This window comes from Homo sapiens, chromosome 2, assembly GCF_000001405.40.
Source record: "Homo sapiens chromosome 2, GRCh38.p14 Primary Assembly".
NCBI classification, from domain to species: domain Eukaryota; kingdom Metazoa; phylum Chordata; class Mammalia; order Primates; family Hominidae; genus Homo; species Homo sapiens.
In genome coordinates, this window is record NC_000002.12 from 47,160,082 (window position 1) to 47,178,777 (window position 18,696).

General features: G+C 40.5%; 1 protein-coding gene across 4 annotated transcripts, besides 9 other annotated features; it reads right to left on the reverse strand.

Moving 5' to 3' along the window:
• On the reverse strand, nucleotides 1-16,855 carry CALM2 (calmodulin 2). Of its 4 annotated transcripts, NM_001305624.1 has the most exons (7): nucleotides 16,360-16,542; nucleotides 12,333-12,378; nucleotides 10,653-10,683; nucleotides 2,438-2,581; nucleotides 2,205-2,311; nucleotides 1,642-1,777; nucleotides 1-723 (listed from the first exon to the last, which is right to left on the reverse strand). In NM_001305624.1, the coding sequence occupies exons 1-7, from the start codon at nucleotides 16,458-16,460 to the stop codon at nucleotides 695-697; spliced, it is 594 nt and encodes a 197-aa protein (NP_001292553.1). In that variant the 5' UTR covers nucleotides 16,461-16,542; the 3' UTR covers nucleotides 1-694. The 4 variants fall into 4 exon arrangements, with proteins under 4 accessions (NP_001292553.1, NP_001292555.1, NP_001292554.1 ...); NM_001305625.2 differs by lacking the exons at nucleotides 12,333-12,378; nucleotides 16,360-16,542 and adding an exon at nucleotides 16,768-16,855 and having other exon boundaries at nucleotides 3-723; NM_001743.6 differs by lacking the exon at nucleotides 12,333-12,378 and having other exon boundaries at nucleotides 3-723; nucleotides 16,360-16,430.
• Nucleotides 14,853-14,942: a silencer, noted in NCBI's record as "silent region_11460". NCBI's record gives its function as "represses an Ori minimal core promoter by ATAC-STARR-seq in GM12878 lymphoblastoid cells {active_cell/tissue: GM12878}" and the evidence as "EXISTENCE:reporter gene assay evidence [ECO:0000049][PMID:35858748]".
• Nucleotides 14,853-15,558: a biological region, named in NCBI's record as "NANOG-H3K27ac hESC enhancer GRCh37_chr2:47402112-47402778".
• Nucleotides 14,892-15,558: an enhancer, noted in NCBI's record as "NANOG-H3K27ac hESC enhancer chr2:47402112-47402778 (GRCh37/hg19 assembly coordinates)". NCBI's record gives its function as "activates a minimal SCP1, AML or CMV promoter by ChIP-STARR-seq in naive H9 embryonic stem cells {active_cell/tissue: H9 hESC(naive)}" and the evidence as "EXISTENCE:reporter gene assay evidence [ECO:0000049][PMID:30033119]".
• Nucleotides 15,453-15,502: an enhancer, noted in NCBI's record as "active region_15723". NCBI's record gives its function as "activates an Ori minimal core promoter by ATAC-STARR-seq in GM12878 lymphoblastoid cells {active_cell/tissue: GM12878}" and the evidence as "EXISTENCE:reporter gene assay evidence [ECO:0000049][PMID:35858748]".
• Nucleotides 15,582-15,732: a silencer, noted in NCBI's record as "fragment chr2:47402802-47402952 (GRCh37/hg19 assembly coordinates)". NCBI's record gives its function as "represses an EF-1alpha promoter that drives an FKBP-Casp9 reporter gene in an ReSE screen in K562 erythroleukemia cells {active_cell/tissue: K562}" and the evidence as "EXISTENCE:reporter gene assay evidence [ECO:0000049][PMID:32094911]".
• Nucleotides 15,582-15,962: a biological region, named in NCBI's record as "ReSE screen-validated silencer GRCh37_chr2:47402802-47402952".
• Nucleotides 15,633-15,962: a silencer, noted in NCBI's record as "silent region_11461". NCBI's record gives its function as "represses an Ori minimal core promoter by ATAC-STARR-seq in GM12878 lymphoblastoid cells {active_cell/tissue: GM12878}" and the evidence as "EXISTENCE:reporter gene assay evidence [ECO:0000049][PMID:35858748]".
• Nucleotides 16,523-16,642: an enhancer, noted in NCBI's record as "active region_15724". NCBI's record gives its function as "activates an Ori minimal core promoter by ATAC-STARR-seq in GM12878 lymphoblastoid cells {active_cell/tissue: GM12878}" and the evidence as "EXISTENCE:reporter gene assay evidence [ECO:0000049][PMID:35858748]".
• Nucleotides 16,693-16,862: an enhancer, noted in NCBI's record as "active region_15725". NCBI's record gives its function as "activates an Ori minimal core promoter by ATAC-STARR-seq in GM12878 lymphoblastoid cells {active_cell/tissue: GM12878}" and the evidence as "EXISTENCE:reporter gene assay evidence [ECO:0000049][PMID:35858748]".

Genomic DNA, 18,696 nt, shown 5'->3' on the forward strand with positions numbered 1-18,696 from the left:
TACCAAGCAGAAACCAATGCCATATTTTATTTTCAAAATTATTAGACTTCAACAGTTAAATGACTCAGATGCAGAGCAACCATTGGGTAAATTGTAATTTTTTTATTGGAAAACAAATATACAACTTGGAATGGATTTTGAGGCAAATTGTGCCATAAGCAGATTTTAAGTGGCTAAACAAAGTTTAAAAAGCAAGTAACAATAAAAGAAAATGTTTCTGGTACAGGACCAGCAGTACAAAAAAATAGTGTACGAGTACCTGGATAATACACCCGTTTTGCAATAGTGCAACTTTTAAGTACATATTGTTGACTGTCCATAGTCCACGCAGAGTTACAACTCCACACTTCAACAACAACATGCTGACAGTTCCTAAAGAAAACTACTTTAAAAAAGGCATAACCCAGATGTTCCCTCATTTGACCAACTCCATCTAAGTTTAGATGTGCAGAAGGGCTTAGATATATCCAGAGTAAGCCACATGCAACATGTTACTTGATCAATTTTCTAAAATAAGGTTTTAGGACAATGACAGTAAGATAAGGGAAGAAAACATGGAGGAATGAAGTCCTAATTACTATACATGCATATTTTTTTGACAGTAGGGAGAAACCTTTTACAGATAAGTTACAAACAAAGAAAAGGCAAATAAACAATTTTGTACAAGAAATTTAACACATTCTGTACAAGGTCTTCACTTTGCTGTCATCATTTGTACAAACTCTGAAAAAGAAGAAGTACACAAAAAATGAGTCAATAGCAAAAGACCAAAAAAAAAAAAAAAAAAAAAAAATCACATTTACTCAATTACTGAGTACTCTTTCCATTCCTCTCTTTCCTCAGAATTACCATTAAGTACAGAGGGAAGCTAGTTTATTGCCCAGGCTGGAACTTCATTAACCATAACTATTCAGGTTTATTAGTAAGAGCCAAATTAACGCTTTAGATAGGCCAATATAAAAAAGAGCATTCTTGGCTCTTAGTTTAGACTTGAATTTTAAGTCTGCTGGATTACAAGACAATATTGTAAATTCAATGCTATGGGCTAGGTTTAATTTTTATAACATTACATTTTATGCTCTTTTCTAAGTTAAGTAGTTACATCATGAAAAAAATACAGAGTTTTACTCAAAATCCTTCAGTTTCATATGCCTTGCTTCCTGATATGGCCATCTTAAAAGTTAGTAGATACGATACTTTTGAAGCACATGTAAACTTCAGTTTCAGACTAAAGCCAATTAAAGAAAAAAGACAATACAGTGCGGGGAAAGAAAGTCACATTAATTTCATTTTAGGAAACTTGGAATAAGTTTGCTTTCCACATTGTTCCACAATCACACAAACACTGAACAGTGCTTCTCAAACTTTATACATGAATCACCCAAGAATCCTATTAAAATGCTGATTCCAGGTGTAGGGATAGAACCTGATAGTAAATATTTCTAAATTAAGTTCTCAAGTCAGAGCAATGTTACCTAGTCTGCAGACAACACTCTGAATTTTAAGAAGGTTAAATGTAAGTAACTGTTTTAGCAACCTAATTTCAGGGGAAGGGTCACTAATTTCGATCAGTTCCCTAACAAAGAGCCTCTTATCTTAAAAATCAAAGTGAAGAATGAGGCGTGAGACTGAAACATTTACCTTCATAGTTTACTTGACCATCACCATCAATATCTGCTTCCCTGATCATTTCATCAACTTCTTCATCTGTTAACTTCTCTCCAAGGTTTGTCATCACATGGCGAAGTTCTGCAGCACTAATATAGCCATTGCCATCCTAGCAAAAAATTTAGTATAGTTTCTGAGTCAAATTACAGACTTGAGAGTTGGAATGGAAATTTATTAAGTTTACTACTAAATTTCACATTGGGGGAAAAACATACTTTAGAAATGCATACAAATCTACACAGTTGACCTACAAATGTCATTAAGAGCCAAGCAAAATGTCCTACATTGAAATCATTATTTCCTAGTCCCAAAGTCAAGTGACACCTCCTTTGACAAGATGAACGCAATACATATATTAGAAAGTCTATACTGAATTCTTAAAAAGCTTTTGCTTGGTAATTAAAATATGTTGGTAAATCATCAAAAAAAAAAAAAAAAAAAAAAAAAAAAACAACCAAAAAAACACAAGTCTTCATAATGAGTCCTGGTATCTTCATTTCATCCTCAAAATTTAACATATCCAGTCCTTGACGTACCTTATCAAACACACGGAATGCTTCTCTAATTTCTTCTTCACTGTCTGTGTCTTTCATTTTTCTTGCCATCATTGTCAGAAATTCAGGGAAGTCAATTGTGCCATTACCTGAAATGGTTTAGTGGAAACATCAAAGCTTTAGTGGAAACATATAAGCAAACAGCAAAGGTTTAGTGGAAACATCTAAGTATCACTTCTTCAACCCCTCCCAGCCCCACAAAATTGAAGACTTACCATCAGCATCTACTTCATTAATCATGTCCTGTAACTCTGCTTCTGTGGGATTCTGCCCAAGAGATCTCATTACAGTTCCCAATTCCTTTGTTGTTATAGTTCCATCACCATCTTTGTCAAATAGTGAAAAAGCTTCTTTGAATTCTGTTTGAAAGAAAGACCACAATCCAAATACACAGATTAATAATAAAATGTAACCTAAATGAAACGTATTAACTCTTAAAGCCTACTCAGTGGTGGGATCGTGCCAGTGAACAGCCACTGCACTTCAGCCTGGCCAAACTGTAAGACCCCACGTCTCAGAAAAACCCAAAAACTTTTAACGGAAAAATACCAATGGAGGTAGCAATTGAAATGTGACTTTGACTCCTAAAGATTAACCAATCTTTATGATACCTTATGATAATATTTCAAATATATCTTTGACCAATCATACCACTGTACTTTCATGCTGACCTAAGTAAAATTATCCTAGGTTTACAGAGGAAAAGAACCAAATCCCCAAATGACTGGCTCCTCTGTCACTGAAGCTGCTCTGTGGAACATAATTCAAAATTACAGACCTAACCTACACTCACAAAACAAAAATAAGACTACTGGTACCCAAATACGTATTTCTACAGAGTAATTAAACTGTTTCTGTATACTGTGTTTAGAGTTAGCCACTATGTCTAAATCAATCACCTACTAAATTAAAACAGGCTACTTTCCCTTTCTAGTAAGGCAGGAGAAGGGACTATATAAAGAGTCTATAACAATGGGCTGATCAAGATATAAATGTCCAGTTTTAGCTAAATGCATGTCACTGAGAACAAAGATCATTTTGAGCTTTCTTTGGAATATTAAAACCCCAACCTTATATAGTGAAACTGATTATTCCTCAACATCTTGTTGTGATAGTATGTTCCTTCCTGCTGTTGTTTTTTTTTTTGAGATGGACTTTCGCTCTTGTTGTCCAGGCTGGAGTGCAATGGTGCAATCTCAGCCCACCGCAACCTCCTCCTCCCAGGATCAAGCAATTCTCCTGCCTCAGCCTCCCGAGTAGCTGGAATTACAGGCATGCACCACCACGCCCAGCTAATTTTCTATTTTTAGTAGAGATGGGGTTTCTCCACGTTGGTCAGGCTGGCCTCGAACTCCCAACCTCAGGTGATCCGCCTGTCTCTGCCTCCCAAAGTGCTGGGATTACAGGGCATGAGCCACTGTGCCCGGCTATATGTTCCTTCTAATACATCACTAGATTACATGGAAACCTCCTGCTGGTGCAACACTCCAGACTACCTGGCTTCATTCACCATTTACAGATAAACTAAAACAAGCCAGGTGCAGTGGCTCACACCTGTAATCCTAGCACTTTGGGAGGCCAAGGTGGGCAGACTGCCTGAGCTCAGGGTGAGTTCCAGACCAGCCTGAACAACAGGGTGAAACCCCGTCTCAGGCCGGGCGCGGTGGCTCAAGCCTGTAATCCCAGCACTTTGGGAGGCTGAGGCGGGTGGATCATGAGGTCAGGAGATCGAGACCATCCTGGCTAACACGGTGAAACCCCATCTCTACTAAAAATACAAAAAAATTAGCCGGGCGTGGTGGCGGGCGCCTATAGTCCCAGCTACTCGGGAGGCTGAGGCAGGAGAATGGCGTGAACCTGGGAGGCAGAGCTTGCAGTGAGCTGATATTGCGCCACTGCACTCCAGCCTGGGCGACAGAGCGAGACTCCGTCTCAAAAAAAAAAAAAAAGAAGAAAAAGAAAAGAAACCCCGTCTCTACTAAAACACACACACACACAAGCTGGGTGTGGCGGCGTGTGCCTGTAGTCCCCCGTCTCTACTAAAACACACACACACACACACACACACACACACACACACACACGCTGGGTGTGGCAGCGTGGGCCTGTAGTCCCCCGTCTCTATTAAAACACAAACACACACACAAGCTGGGTGTGGCGGCGTGCGCCTGTAGTCCCAGCTACTGGGGAGGCTGCAGCAGCAGAACTGCTTGAACCCGAGAGGCGGAGGTTGCAGTGAGCCGAGATCACACCACTGCACTCCAGCTTGGGCAACAGAGTGAGACTTGTCTCAAAAAAAAAAAAAGAAAGAAAGAAACTAAAACAGACTAACTTTGATACTGCAAAGTTATACCAATCAGTAAATAATAAAGCTAGTATTTTCCAAGTAAGTCATTTCCCAGAAAATATTAGACCCTATCAGCAAATGAATACAAAAAGTTTCCAAGTTCATTGGGCCATTAAGCTTTCCCAACATAGCCATACATTTGAAAATTTATGTGACACATGTGTAAGAAATGGTGTACCTTCTTTACGGTCCAAGGCCAATTTATTCCCTGCCTGCTTATCCCTAACTCCAATTCGCGTACACCTTCCAGTTTCATTCCGTATTACCTCTTCCCTGGACTCAACTATTCTTCCACTAATTTGCCCATTACCACATAAATATCTTCACATCGCTTAGCCTAAAACTAAATTGAAACCTTAGTTATATTTTAAATGCTTGCCCTTATCCCTCCCCAAATTTTGGAAGGCACTACTACTCATACCAATTTCCTCTCTCCAAACAATCCACTATTTTAAAATGACATCCAGCTCCAACTCATCACCTGAAAATGCTGAGTTTACCAATGACTACTAGTCAGTCACCCAATCCATCAAGCATGCTTCAATGTGAAGCCATATGGCATAGAAACTAAAATGAGACTTTGTAACTTGACTACTGGGTTAGAATTTCCTAGCTCTGTTTCTTCTTCTGGCAATGCAATATGGACAAGCTACTAAACCTTTTCTGCCTCAGCTTCCTCATTTCTGTGAAATGACATAAATGTGCCCAGTAAGTGGGGTGACACAGTATACCATGCCCACAAGGGGTATTCACCTGGTCACCCCCCATAAAAAAATTAGTATGTGTCAAACACTTAGAACTATGTCCAACAAATACATACTTAATAAATGTCAAGATAAAGACTATCTCATTTTTTTGCAGCATCCAAAACTGCATGGAAAAACTCTCAAAATTTTTCTTGGCCTTCGTAACAGTACTTTGATTTTCCTCCTACCATATACTGCCAAAGGCTCTTACTCCTGTCTCTTATGTCTAGATGTGACCAATTTTATCCTTTTTTTCCACTCCTTGGCCACTTCATCTATACCCACTTACAACGAAGATATCTTTAGTCTACCCATCTCGCTCAATAAATGTCTTTATTTCTGGCTGTCTACAGGATATAGCTCCCCTGGCTGATGACAAGCAAAACATATGAAAATGAATTCTATACTCCCAGGCAACCCTAAAGGTACTAGCAAAAGCCCAAGAGCCACTTTTAACTCTTTCAGTCTGAAATCTGTCAACAGGTCTCGAATTCTATCATTTAAATACTGCCTGATTTTTCCTCCATCTCTACAACCAGTATTTTGGTTCAAGGCTCCATCGTCCTTTGCCAGGGCTATTACAATTGCCTCCTAACTGCATTCTTTCTTATTTAAATATTACTGGTTTATAGAGGAACTCATCTAATACCAATCAGAAGGTTCATACCACACTAATTGATTTTATGAAGATAGTATACAGTGCTAACCTAGATCAACCTAATGACAAAAATAGATCAGGGAGTCTCCACCTACAAATAGCACAATTGATAAAGACATTTCAATTTTACTGTTTTTAAACAGAATGTAGAAATATCTAGAAATACATATATTGGAGTTCAGACACATTGCACCTTTCACCTAATTTAGGTTACAAGAAAATTAAAGGACTTTGAGGTATTTGTTTATATTACATTCTCTGCTATGGGTATCTTTTAACACCACCATTAGGTGCATAAATTCCCAATGTTTAATTAGCAGTAATCACCTTTCTATTACATGATTTAACAAAAAGCTAAATACTGGAAGATGCATAGTGTAAGACTATGTATAACTTTCGAGAAATTTAAAAATCTAATAACACTTAAAATGTTTGCTAGAATAAGTAAAATGCAGAAAATAAAACCGTATCTATGCTAATACCATTTGTTATTCATTCAAGAAAGGAACAAATAACATTTCTTTTAAAGGTCAAGGTTTATTCCAAATTTTTACTTGTATTTTTATACTAAAGAGTAAAAAATACCTGTAAAAACTCAAAATAATAAACCCCAAAGTAAAATTTTAATTCACCTGCCTTTACAGTTTTCCTGTACTTCAGAACTAGCGTAATCTTTATGTATAGAAGCATATAATTCTAAACTGTAACTCCCAGGAATGACCTGAAATTAAATCCAAGAGTCAAAACCTAAACACACAATAAAGAGAACAGGTCCTGAATGCCACAGAACAGCTATCTTCTACATAATTGATAGATATAAGGAACCTACCAAAATCCATTTTAGCTGACCAAACTGAAACTTTCAGAAAAATCTATTACTCAAGTTTTATTTGTTCATTAGCAACCCCAAGGCCCTTCCCTAATTAGTTTATTACCTAAACATATAATTTTATTAAAATAACATGTTTTAAAAATTTTATTAAAATAGGTTATCACAAGACAATTACAAAACAAATCAAATGACTGTTTATTAACTTCTATTTCTTCACAAAATTCTGAACTTAATAATCCCTTAAAGATCATGTACTGGAACTCTTTTGGCGCTTCATGCAGTTGTTGCTATACATTGAGTAATATTAATATTTTTCTCAAACAAATTTGGACCTTGAAAATTTAATGAAAGTTTAGGTACAGACTTCTTAAGGAAAAAATACTGTACATTTTTCCTATCAGTCTTCCAAAAGTCAAACAGCAACAACTAATGACATCATGGCAGAGTTATCAACAAAATGAAATTGTTAGTGATGTCATACTAGACTGGAATGCTTTATACGACCAAGTAATATAAAAAATTTTAGGCCGGGAGCAGTGGCTCATGCCTGTAATCCCAACACTTTGGGAGGTCAAGGTAAGCGGATCACCTGACGTCAGCAGTTCAAGACCAGCCTGGCCAACATGGTGAAACCCCATCTCTCCTAAAAATACAAAAACTAGCCGGGTGTGGTGGTGCACGCCTGTAATCCCAGCTACTTGGGAGACTGAGCCAGGAGAATTGCTTGAAGTTGGACAGCAAAGGTTGCAGTGAGCCAAGATCATGCTACTGCACTCCAGCCTGGGCAAGAGAGTGAAGCTCCGTCTCAAAAAAAAAAAAAAAAAAAAAAAAAAAAAAAAAAATTTAGTAACTTCATCTACACAAGGATGTTAGCGGTCACCAGCACTTACAACTAAAAAAAAAAAAAAAAAAATTTTTTTTTCTTTTCTTTGAGACAGGGTCTTGCTGTGTTGCCCAGACTGGTCTTGAACTCCTGGGCTCAAGCAATCCCACTGCCTCAGCCTCCCAAAGTGTTGGGATTAGACATGCGCCACCATGCCCAGCCACCAACAATTACAATTTACCAGATTAAAAAATTGCCTTCATCTCAAAGGTAAACACTGAAATATACCAAATTTGGGAGGAAGGGACTTGGAGAGTAGGCAGAAATCTTAGGATAGTAGTGCTCTAGAACTTTTTTGTGTTACACACTCATTGAGAATAAAATTTATTCAAGGAATATTCAATGATTACTATGTGGCAGGTACCGGGCCTACAAAGTAGAACAAAAAGGTCCCTGACCGCACATGATTTTTATTTTAGTAGCATAGAAGTTTTGGTTCCTCTGCCCTAAATCTTAACTGAAACCTGGAGGTCCAAGGAATGGCTTTAAAGAAATCTGTGGTCTAGGAAAAGGCAGGATAAGAAGAGAACCTAAGAACAGATTTTTTTCCCTCTACTCCCATTGGAAACCTAATTTTATGATGAAAGCCAAGAAAAGATAGGATTTAACTTAAAGACAATAAAGAGAACAGGTCCTGAATGTCACAGTTTTGATGAACTACAAGTATTCTTTATAAGAATTCTACCAGGCCAGGCATGGTGATTCACACCTGTAATCCCAGCACTTTAGGAGGCTGAGGCGGGTGGATCACCTGAGGTTGCGAGTTTGAGACCAGCCTGACCAACATGGAGAAACCCCATCTCTACTAAAAATACAAAAATAGCCAGGTGGTGCATGCCTCTAATCCCAGCTACTCGGGAGACTGAAGCAGAACAGCTTGAACCCGGGAGACAGAAGTTGAGCCACTGCACTCCAGCCTGGGCAACAAGAGTGAAACTGTCTCAAAATAAATTAAAAAATAAAAATGCTATCAATCACTGAAGAGGGATCCTCTTATATTCAATAGACACAAACTTTTTTTTTTTTGAGGCAAAGTCTCGCTCTGTTGCCCAGGCTGGAGTGCAGTGGCATGATCTTGCCTCACTGCAACCTCTGCCTCCCAGGTTCAAGTGATTCTCCTGCATCAGCCTCCTGAGTGGCTGGGATTACAGGTGCACGCCACCATGCCTGGCTAATTTTTGTATTTTTAGGAGAGATGGGGTTTCACCACGTTGGCCAGGCTGGTCATGAACTCCTGACCTCAAGTGATCCGCCTCGGCCTCCCAAAGTGCTGGAATTACAGGCGTGAGCCACTGCGCCCGGCCAACAAACTTTCTTTTCAAAGAGTTGTTTAAGAGAGCAGACCATCAACTATGCAATGGCACACTGAGTAACGTTTTCTACCCTAAAGTGAACATGCTGTACTGCATACAGTTGGTACCTGTACCTGACTGGGAATATTAAGAAATGTATTACAGAAGGTCAGAGTTTAAGAGTGAAAGTATTAGACAGCCTGAGACAATTTGGGAAGGAGACAGTATATTTATAAAAAAAACTACTTCAGAAAAACATTTTGACGATACATTTACTTTGTAGAGATGGGGTCTCACTATGTTGCCCAGGCTGGTCTCAAACTCCTGGGCTCAAGTGATCCTGCTGCCTCAGCCTCCCAAAGTGATAAGATTACCAGCCATCAGGCCCAGTCTATTTTTTTTGAGGAGACATGAGATCAAATAGGTGATACCTTTAAAACAGTGTAACTCAACAAAAAAAAAATTATTCCCAAAACTGTTTGCTTTTTGTTCATAACAGTCAATACATGTAATTTACCAACCTCAGAAAGTAAAAACTAAGTTTAAGTCAAATTACACAATAAATAAAAATAAAACCTGCTTAAATTTGTCTTTAATACTAATAGCTTTCTACCTACAGTCCTATCAAATAGTATTTGAGGTGACTAGTGTAATTCTGGTATCCCCCAAACTTCTATATGCTTATGGAAGTGGGGAGCTTGCTTTAAATGGGCTATATAGTTCCAACTGGGCTTCTCAGTTTTCTCCAGCCTAAGAAAAAGTGCTCAAGTGCTTTTGAGCTCTTATCAAACCCTTCCTGCTTACTGTGAAAACTGTGGCAAATAAACTGCTTGGTGCTCATGCTAATAAAAGTGTCTAATGAAAACAAAGGAATAGTTTGCAAAGCATTTCAACACTACAATAAAAAAAAAAAACAACTCCGGCAAGGGGGGAAAAAAAAGTTTCCCCAACATTGACATTAACCAGCCATCTCAATGTACAAGGATAAATCAAAAGTATTAATGTTCTATGGCATGGCATAAAGAGAACATGACATCAGGTTTTATGTAATAATTTTGCATACTTCCATAGCAAACTAAAAGGGACAAGATTTAAGCGGCTTCATTTCAACAGCTGTCACTGTTTTTTAAGAGAAAAATCCACATTGCTACAGTGACATTTATAGAATAGAATGCCAACTTCTTAAATTTTTTCACTTGAGAAATGGTTATTCCCTGACTGATTATATATGCAATTCTTAGGTTAAAATGTTAGCTAATTTTAACTAGGGTAAATTCAATTGTTCCTTTTTTGATTCTCCATTTCAAGTTGCCTTAGTTACTTCTTGGCCTCCTTTTCTAGCGTGTTAGCTAGCCCAGAATTCCTGTTTTATACTAAGGTAGTCTTCAGAAAACAAAACAAAGACCACCACTACACCACAAGGCTCCAAAGTATATCCACGCAGACTAAAATACATGTCTTTAACTACAATTAGCCCTGCACATCTTCCATCGGCAAGTTTACAATCCCACTTGCCAAAGCAGGTTGAATTACTGTATTATATTATACCCATATGTTAGTATCCATGACATATACCAAAGTCAATTATTTCATACAAGTCTCTTATTCTGACGTTGGCTATTCAATTTATAATAAGAATCTAATGGGTACAATCTAGCTGAGTATTTCTCACCTGCAATCTGCTCTTCAGTCAGTTGGTCAGCCTACAAAGAGATCAAAGAGGAAGGTTAGTGACTTGAGAGTATGTAGATTAGCAGTTACAGAAACAAGTTTAAAACCTTTCAAGGGTTACCATGTACTGTTTCATTTAGTTCCAGCAACAAACACATCTGGATAGAAAATGCACACATCTAGTTTCTCTTATCTTCAAAGCTAAGCTGTCTTAACTCCAAGTTTAAGATATACAAATACTTCAGAATATTTTTGAAAATATACTTTAGAATCCAATAGAAACATTGCTTCCTTTTTCAACGTTAGAATAGCTAAACTTAAGCTCACTTCTATTCCAGATATAAATCACCAGAAATTCCCACTGAATCAAAATGCTTCAGGCTCACAAAATGAAAATTACTCCCACAAATGGTTAAACACATTGTTTTGAAATTAAAGTGATTAAAAAAAAAAAAAGGCACAAACTTTTATTCCTTCTCACCCAGCAGGCAAAATGCAAAGAATCCAGAGCTCTGAACTACAGTACTATAATATTTACCAAATGTTTGAAAGTTCAGCCATCCATTTTCTCTTGGTTTTTAAAATCCCAAAGTAAGCCCAAGGCTTGTGATGTTTTTTTAATAGCACTTGGTTTTCTTCAGAAAATATTTTCTGCCATTTGCTAAAACCCATTATAAATTTTATCCTTATTCAATCTTAATAATAACCTTACAGTGGTATTATCCCCTATCTTACAGATAAGGAATGAGGCTAGGGTTAAGTGGGATTGGGGCACAGAAAATTAGTAGAACAAAGATAAAGCACTAAGGTGTCAGACATACCCAGTAACTTTTAGCTTTTAATTCAGAGCACCGTAATATATAAAGATGATTGCAAAATATCCAGACTCCTTGTTGTATTCTTTGAACATGCACTTTCTTTCACTGCTTATTAGTATATACATCCATGAAGCAACTGCTTATGGGGTATTGAGAAGCACAGACAAGAAATAGCCTCCTATCTAAAATCCCTACCAACATGGGAGTCAAGTATACAATGATTAATCCATTCATTTATTTATAGGTAAAAGAAAAATAAACATTGCCTGGCTTCATTCTTTTTAAATGAACACACCCCTGGAAAAAGTAACACCTTAATGTGGAACACATTTTCTCTAGGGCACATGAGAAAATTCAAGAAGGAATCCAGAAAGCAGTTTATTTTCCCTGCTCAACAATTTTTGTTTGACCATGATGTAAATCAAATTCATTAAAAAAAAAAAAAAAAAAAAAAGCTGGTAACGTAAAATTGAAGAGCCAATAATTAAGTTCAAATACAGAGTTTGTAAAATAAAAAATGTATCCACTTTTATCCCTAAAGTCCAAATCCTCCGCCAACAAATATTTGGTGTGAAGTCAGTCACAGATTGTTTACCCAAGGAATAAGGTTTAAAATCCAGTAAATCTGAGTTATTTACTTTGTATTAATAGAAGCTACATTACTTCAGTTTATTGCATTTTGCAGGACTTCCACCATTTCTGAAAGGAAGGGCAACCTGGCATGCGTGGCGTGGGGGGAAAGCATCAAGTTCTGAGTCACAGGCCAGTATCCCAGCCCTGCCATTTAATAGCTGTGTGACCTTGGACGTGGTACTCCTCCTCTCAGTCAACTTCATTTGTAGCACAAGAATAACAATACTTACCTTGCAGGGTTGTTGTGCAAAGTGAGATGCTATGTACAAAGCTAACCTAAAGAGTTAAATGATAACCATTATTTCATATAAATTAACAAAGAACCTACAATGTTAAATATCAACCTGACTAGCTCAATTTCCACACCGAATGTAGACATGCATGGCATTTATTAAGCCCTTTATGGTAAGCTTACTCTATTCAATGTTAACTTTGTTTAAGCTGAGAAAATTTATGCAAACTAAATCCACAAGGTGCAACCCAGCGACAGATGCAGCGGACATCACTTTAAGGCTAAAAAAAAGTTGAGCTAAATGTGTGGCAGACACTGCAGCCTGTGTGAAAGTTGAAGGATCCCGTACTCTGTACAGGAAGGGAGACAGGTTCGTTCTCTCTACATGGGTTGGGGGGGGGGGGGGGGTGGGAAATGGGACTTTGGGAAGGCTACTATATATGAAACATGAGAAGCCTTAGGAAGAAACGAGGATGTTAGCAATTTAGGAACCACTGTCCAATTTTGCTTGGAAAGTCAAAATTTAGGGACCTCATACCATCTTGTCTAACTCCCTACCTCCAAGCAAATGCAATCTTGGAAGAGATCACAAAAATGAGCTTCAAGGAATGAATTAAGCACCCAAGAGACCAAATTACTCACATAACCTGAAAGCTCTCAATTTTGCTTGGAAGGTTGAGAAGCTTTTTGTATTACTTATCCAGAGTTCAGGTTTTAGAATAAACTTTTACCAGCAATATCCAGATTAAAGCCTACTATAAATCAAGAAGACTTCCTAGCACTAACTTTCCCAACTGCTACAAAGGCGAATAAATTTGGTTCTTCCTTGTTTCCAGGGAGTGCCATTTTCTTAGAAGAACCAGAAGAATTATACTTTTGGGAAAACTCAAGCTCATTAACATGTATGTTTATCTCAGTAAAGTGAAGAAGAATTCACTAGAGAGATGACTTGTTCTTACTCCCTTATTTCTGTAGCTATTGACATAATTCTTCCCACTGCTCTTGCCACTCCAGAGAAAGTTCCTAGGCATTAGTATACTCTCAGGTTCCTCCCTAGACCTCCTGTACTAGAATGTTCATTTTGGAGAACCATAGGTGATCTGTCAACACTAAGGAGCACGACCCCGTATTACATTAGTGACCTGAAGTGAATACATTATGTACCTATCAAACATTTCCTACATGCCATTCAAAAGTATGCATGAATACTGTTGGAGTTTATCTAGTGAAAGGTGGTGTTCTTATCTGAATAAATGTGTGAGCCCATAGGCTTGAAATGGAACGCAAACTGCTATCCTTCATCCATTCCTGTCTGTTCATTCCCATCAGGTGCTACTTTGATACAACAAGGATTCCTATATGAAGTTTTTTCTACAATTATGGAAGCCAGGATATTTGTTTTACCTGTATCAAAAGCAATCTAAATTATTTCATTAGGGTAAAAAGACACCTAATTCTGAAGAATAGTACTTACATAGCATCTCTCACCAAAAGATCACTGGAACAAAATGGCTTCATAAAAATTAGGGCTATTACTAAAGGCCTAAATTCTAGCTGAAGCTAGAGCTTTCTATATTTTAAAAGAGCCAAATCCTTTGATCTTCTGAGCCTAACAGAAACAGGCGTTGGCACTTATAAGAACAATTATTTAGACTCAAGTGACAAAAATTTTCTACCTTTTTACATCTTTTACTTACCTAATCACCCTGCACTCAAAGTCCTCTTGAAGCAATCCCGTTTTCAATGAGCATATGTTGATTACATGTAAACTCAAGAGTTACATGAGCAATCTTACTTTACTTCCGTATAAAATTTTTTATACTTTAACTTGGGGTCCTAATTTTTTTTATTTTTTGAGAGACAGGGTCTCACTCTGTTGCCCAGGGAGTGCAGTGGTGTGATCATAGCTCACTACAGTCTCCAACTCCCGGGCCCAAGATGATCCTCCTGCCTCAGCCCATTGACTAGCCAGGACTACACGCACAGGCCATTATGTCCGGCTAATTTTTTTTAATTGGATTCCTAATGTAAAATCTCAGTCCTCTAATTATAAAGTTATGTGAAGGCAATTTTCAAATTTACTGTATCTGTCACAAATAATGATATCTGTCAATTTTTATTAAGATTTTTTTTTTCGACTTTGTCTCTTATAGTAAGAGCTGTCAATTTAACAGAAAACCCCCAAAGCACCAGTGATGCAAACAGTAACTACAAAAGCTTAACACTGGGCAAGGGACCACAAATGCGTAGATACCAACTCTACCAAGAAAAAATCTATTCGAATTACTGATTCAATTATCAAAACTGATTAAAGAAAACTTTACCCTTCGTTTATTTAAAAAAAAAAGCTTACTCCACAACTTGTAATGTTTATTACATATGCCTGTAACTACATCTTTAAGAAAGCAAATGTAACCAGCACATTCAAATTCAGAATAACATTTGAAGCATCAAGATGAAGCAAATCCATCAAACGTCAATGAACGCTAGTTTTATTTAAGGTGAAATCGTCTCCCCACACCCATACAGGCTGGAGGTTTCAGTTGGCAAGGATCCCTAACTCCTGTTTAAGATGTCACCTTGCCTCCTGGACACACCCATCGCTGTAACCACTTGGCAGGAGGAACCACAAAGTAAGTATCACAGATCACCGCCCTCATTAGGTGTTTTTTTTTTTTTTTTTCAGGAAAGAACATGATCTCCCAGTCTGAGGTGACCGGAAAATGCTTTTAAAAATTCCCTGCTCCTCCCCCGCATACACTCTTCCATCACAGTATTTGACAGACAAACATCATACAAACGAAGTGTACGTCAAGACGACCTGGCAACTTCTACACGGAATTTAGGGGTCGTTTTCAAAGCAGCAGAAGGGGAGCAATGTTTTTATGTGGTCGTGGTTCTTGAACATTAGGACTGCACGCTGTTTTCAAGCATAGAATAGGGACAGGGGCTCTTCAAAGGCATCCATCCAATTGTTACAAGACCGACTTTCAGAAGGCAGTCACTCCGGAGCCTGCTTCCCTCCGGCGGTGAACAAGAAACGCCTTGTAGAACCCTAGCTGGAGCCGAACACTTTCCCTAACAAGATGTGTATTGCGAGGACGCGCCCCTGACTTCAAGGGTAAGACTAATTTCTTTCAACGACAGACACTTTAAAAAGCAATTTTTTTTAAAGCATCCGGCCTGGGTGGTGGAAGACGCCCCAGGGCCCAGATGGAGAAGGAAGATTAGGGTTGCCAGAGGGGGATGGGAAACCGTCGAGGCCCCCCTCCCCCGCCCATCCCCGCCAATGGCCCCGCAGCGCCAAGGAGATCTCCGCAGTCCTGCAGGTGCCAGCAGAGCAGCTGGAGCTCGAGCGGGGCCGAGCGGGGCGGCGGCTCCGGGTCCCGCGAGGCGCTCGCCCGCCCCGCCCCCACCGGCCGCTCCCTGCGCCGCGCGGGCTCGGCCCACACAGCGCGCCGCCCGCCCGCCCGCGCGCCCCCTGGATCCCGGCACGCGGAGGACGCGGGCTAACTGCGACGCCGACGCTCGCCCCAGGGCCCCGCGCGCTCCTCCCGCCCCCTGGGCGCATGGCGGCCGCAAGCGGACAAAGGCGCTTCCTGGCGCCCGCACTAACCGTCGGTCGGGTGGATTGAATTCGCCCCCTGCTTGACCTTTCCAGACGCCCGACAGAAGGCTCTCTACGCTCCCTCTCTCCCTTCCTTCACTTTCTCTCCTTCCCGTGCACTGGGCTGTCCCTCATCCCGGACCCATCCTCCTCCAGCCAAGCCCCCGAGGAGCTTCACCACCTCGGGAACTGTGCGTCCGGCCCTCAACTCACTAGAGGAAGCCCCCCTGAAGAGAATGGGGGTGGGGGAGCACCTGCGACACAACCGTCGCCGGCATCCCTGGCCTCTTTCGCGCCATCCCTCTGGCAGAAACCACTCCTTGAAGGTGTAAGGGAGGCGAGTTTCCTTTGTTTAGTCAGTTCGCTCCAGTCTCTTCCCCCCACAGGCCCAGCGCCGGCAGCTCAGCGATGCACTCACCATGCTGCAAGCGCTACCGGTTTCCGAGACGCGACCACACAACCACTCAGCTCGCTCTCTCCACTCGGACTAATTCGCCTCCTCCGCCCCCAGCGCCTCATAAACACCTCCCTCCGCCAGATCCCTCCGCCGCATCCAGATAACGGAACATCGCAAACGAGTCCCGGCCAACCCCCTCCCCTCAAACTCTTCTCGGGACCCCTTTCTTCACAGTTATTTGGTCGATGAGGCAAGAGATCAAGGAAAGTGGGCGAACGGATGACGTAAGTGGGTTTCATTTCCAGCGAGCCGTTAAAAGGCCGGTGGAGCGGCCCCTGAGGGGCGCTACTTTGCGGCGCGGAGGAGCATCGTGGCGGCGATGCGTCCCCCGTTGGTCGTTGAGCCTGCCTCTGATTGGCTGGTTTGTACCTGCAATGCGTCACTGGGACTCGCAGCCGCCGCCGGGACGCGGTGCGGCTTCTGCCGTTGCTGCTCGGGCCGCGCTGTCCTGGCAACTGCGCCAGGCGGCAGAGTCGCCTGCTTTGCGCTTGGCTGGAGAACCTTCCTCTTCCACGTATCCTTCCCTGCCACACTCACCCACTTTCCCGCCCCTTATTGAGGGGTAGACGAAAACACCTTAAGCCGATAAAGAATGAAGCTGAAAGATTCCGATAAACGCGTACCCTGAACTCAGCTTTTTAACCTAGTGTTTTGGCCTCATGGAAGCCGCACGTTCTTCATTTCACGCCCTCACAAAACCCATGTAAATCTGGACACGGGCAAATGTAGCTGTTCAGCTGACAGGCTAATCTCAAAGGGTATTTCGTTTATACTTCCTCTTCGCGTTCTTTGCCAAGGGTAATTTACCAGAAAAGAAAAGTAACTCAAAAGTCACAGTATCCGAGCTTCAGTGGGATTAGTATCTCGAAATGGCCCCTTGTTATCGTGGGGTTAAAGGGTTCTGGATTGGACAGAGCTGGGCATGAGTTAGTTGGGTCCCTCTCTCAGGTGCAAGACCTTGGGTGAGTCATTTAATTTTTAGCCTCACTTGTAAAATACAGGCAATAAGACCTATCTCGAAAGAATATTGAGGAAATTAGAATTATGCAAAGATTAGAATTAACAAAGTGTTAAAGTACCTGGCACAGGGTAGGACTCCAACAATTGGTCACTATAATATGCCTTCCCCTTCATAGGAAATTTGCCCTTTTGGATTTCTAACTCCACAGATTTAAATGAATATTTTAAAAACCACATAAAAACTAACTGCTTGGTCCCATCCAAAATAAACAAAGGCGTACATACCTGAAATATTTAACAGGTGGATAGTGAACACCTACTGTGTAAACTCGGTTTGATTATAATTGTAACTATAGAAGGGCTTACGAGATGCAGAGGTGAGGACCTTAGTCCTCTATAAGAGGTTCCAAAAAGGGTTCCTAGAGAAGGTAACTCCTAAATTGTCTAATGTTATAAAATGGGCTAGGAAAAAGCAGGGAGGAAAGAAGGGAGCAAGTTCTGGGTGAAGTAAGTAACAGCAAAGGCCCGGAGGTGTGTAATTGCGTGGTATGATGGAGGAGTTGCAAGGGGATAGGCATTACTAAAGCCCAAAGTAGACAGCCAGCCTCGTTAGGCAGAGAGGACGCTGGGAAATTAAAGAGGAATAAGGTTTAAATCTCAAAAGGCAGTTCCTTAAGAAGATTGTTGGTAGAATCCAGCTCAGAAAAAAAAAAAAAAAGAAATCATCACAGGCCATATCAAGGTCTGAGAATTTTCCAGTAAAAAGCACAAGCATGTAGACCCTTAAAACCCAGTGAACAGCATTTTTTGCAAGCCAAGGTGAAATCTTGCCTACTGAAGACAGCTCCCTAGAGAACATTGCCCTGCCCAGCAAGACCATTTCTGATGCTAACAGCTACCTGCATCCACTTGGAAGGCTTCAGTGGAATTTAACCTCCTTTAGCCAAGTTAGACATTTTCTCACACCATCAAAAATCTTTTCTTTGCCAGGCCAGAGGTGGGTCCTCTTTCTTTCAGTCATGCAAACCAGGCATTAAATGCTCTTCCAATTAGCATTGGCAACCCTGTGACCTTCTTTTCAGATGAATGACCAGTCAGTGCAAACTCAGGACCCTGTGCTTCTATTGTCCTCGCTAATGTGGTGACGTAATGATGGTGGGGGGAAAGGAGATTTAATTAACTTTATCCTGTGAATGGAATACCATCGAGACAGAATGTTACTTAAAAGCGGACACCTCTGCTTCAGAATCTGAGCTGAAAACGGAGCCCTAAGGCCTCCGTTTCATTACTCTGCATTCTGGTAGCTTCCAGGTCTTTCCAAGGTATTCCTCAGAAATT